The sequence below is a fragment of the Homo sapiens genome, chromosome 5 (genome assembly GCF_000001405.40).
Source record: "Homo sapiens chromosome 5, GRCh38.p14 Primary Assembly".
Taxonomy (NCBI): Eukaryota; Metazoa; Chordata; class Mammalia; order Primates; family Hominidae; genus Homo; species Homo sapiens.
The window spans coordinates 98,349,156-98,350,835 of NC_000005.10; the positions used below are offsets into that span (position 1 = coordinate 98,349,156).

The 1,680-nt window shown below is 38.9% G+C and overlaps 1 annotated feature.

Moving 5' to 3' along the window:
- Positions 490-784: a silencer, noted in NCBI's record as "tiled region #1674; K562 Repressive non-DNase unmatched - State 13:Ctcf". NCBI's record gives its function as "represses a minimal TATA promoter and a strong SV40 promoter by Sharpr-MPRA in K562 cells {active_cell/tissue: K562}" and the evidence as "EXISTENCE:reporter gene assay evidence [ECO:0000049][PMID:27701403]".

Sequence of the window (1,680 nt, forward strand, 5' to 3'; positions counted from 1 at the left end):
TTTTAAAATATATCAGACAAAAAAAAAAAAAGATCACTTGAGCCCAGGAGTTCAAGACTGTGGTGCCCTATAGTCATAATTCCAATTCGAAAATGGTGGCATAGAAACAAGCTGGCTTCGCTCCCTTTTACAGAAAACCAAAAACAAATATATAGCACCAAGATGATCACCAGCAATATCCTAGAACACAAATATGAGGATGAATCAGTTCCTGGAGCCAAAGAGAAGTAAAAAAAACTCCAGCAGACGGTAAGAGAGCCATATATTCATGACAATGACACCCCTCCCTGGAATCTGCCCTGCCCCAAGTATGTGGAAAATGTTGATTGACTCTCAGTTTCCACACTGGAGAAAGTGAGACTGAGGTTGACAGTCAGCTTCTCTACTTTCTTATGTTCCCTGACAGGAGACCTGTCCCTACCTCAAACTGTGGGAAGCATGGTGAGTGCCTAAAAGGAGAAACATCTCTGAGGACAGCCAAAGACAAAGTAGAGAGGCAGGACTAACATCCTGAATGCTAGAAACTGCTCTGTAATTCAGCCAAATGACATGCCAAATCGGAGTGGCTGCTTAGCAGTACCATGCTGTAGGAGGTACATTCCACGGGGCCCCTGAGCACAAATTACAGCCAGCCGTTCCACACTGCCAGGATATCCCCTTTGGGACCTCCCCTATTTCTGATGATCAGTCTCTGATAATTTGCTAGAGCAAAGGCAAACATGGGCTTAAAGTGCCATCTAGTGCTGAAAAGGAGGCACTGACCTAGCGGAAAAAAGTATAAGAAATTCAACAGGTAAATTATGAAGAATCTCTAAGTAAACATAGCCAATAAAAACCAAAACAAGCCAGGCAGAGAAAACTGGAATGAATAACTGTTAAATGCAAAGACATAGATGTACATTCACACACACACACACAAAAAAAAAACAGCGAAAAGGAAACCATGACCTCTCCAAACAGACAAAGCAAGGAACCAGTGACTGACCCTAACAAGACTGTTACATGAGCTCTCTGTCCAATAATTCAAAATAGGAGTTTGAAAGAAACTTAGTGCTCTCCAAGATAACACATAAAAGCAATTTATAAATTTATCAGATAAATTTTACAAGGAGATTGAAATAATAACAAAAGATCAAACAAAAATCTTGGAACTGAGAAACACATTTGCTGAATTCAAAAATTCATTGAAGGCTCTTTACAGCAGAATGTACCAAGCAGAGGAAAGAATCAGTGCTCCCAAAGACAGGCTGTTTAGAAGTACACAGTCACAGGAGAAATAACAAAAAAATAAAGTCAAAAGGAATAAAGACTACCTATAAGATATAGAAAATTACCTCAAAAGACAAAATCTAAGAATTACTAGTATTCAAAAGGCAGCTGAGCAAAAGAACAAGGTAGAACACTTACTCAAAAAATAATAACAGAAAAGTTTCCAAAACTTGAGAAAGAAATAAAAGTTCACGTATAGGAAGGACAGAGAACATCAAATAGGACTACGCCAAGACATATAATAATTAAACTCTCGAAGGCCAAAGACAATGAGAGGATCCTAAAAAGCAGCAGGAGAAAAAAAGCAAACAACATGTAAAGAAATGCCAATCATCTGATGACAGACTTCTCAGTGGAAACCACACAGGCCAGGAGGGAGCAGAATATTTTCAAAGTGTTGAAAAGAAAACA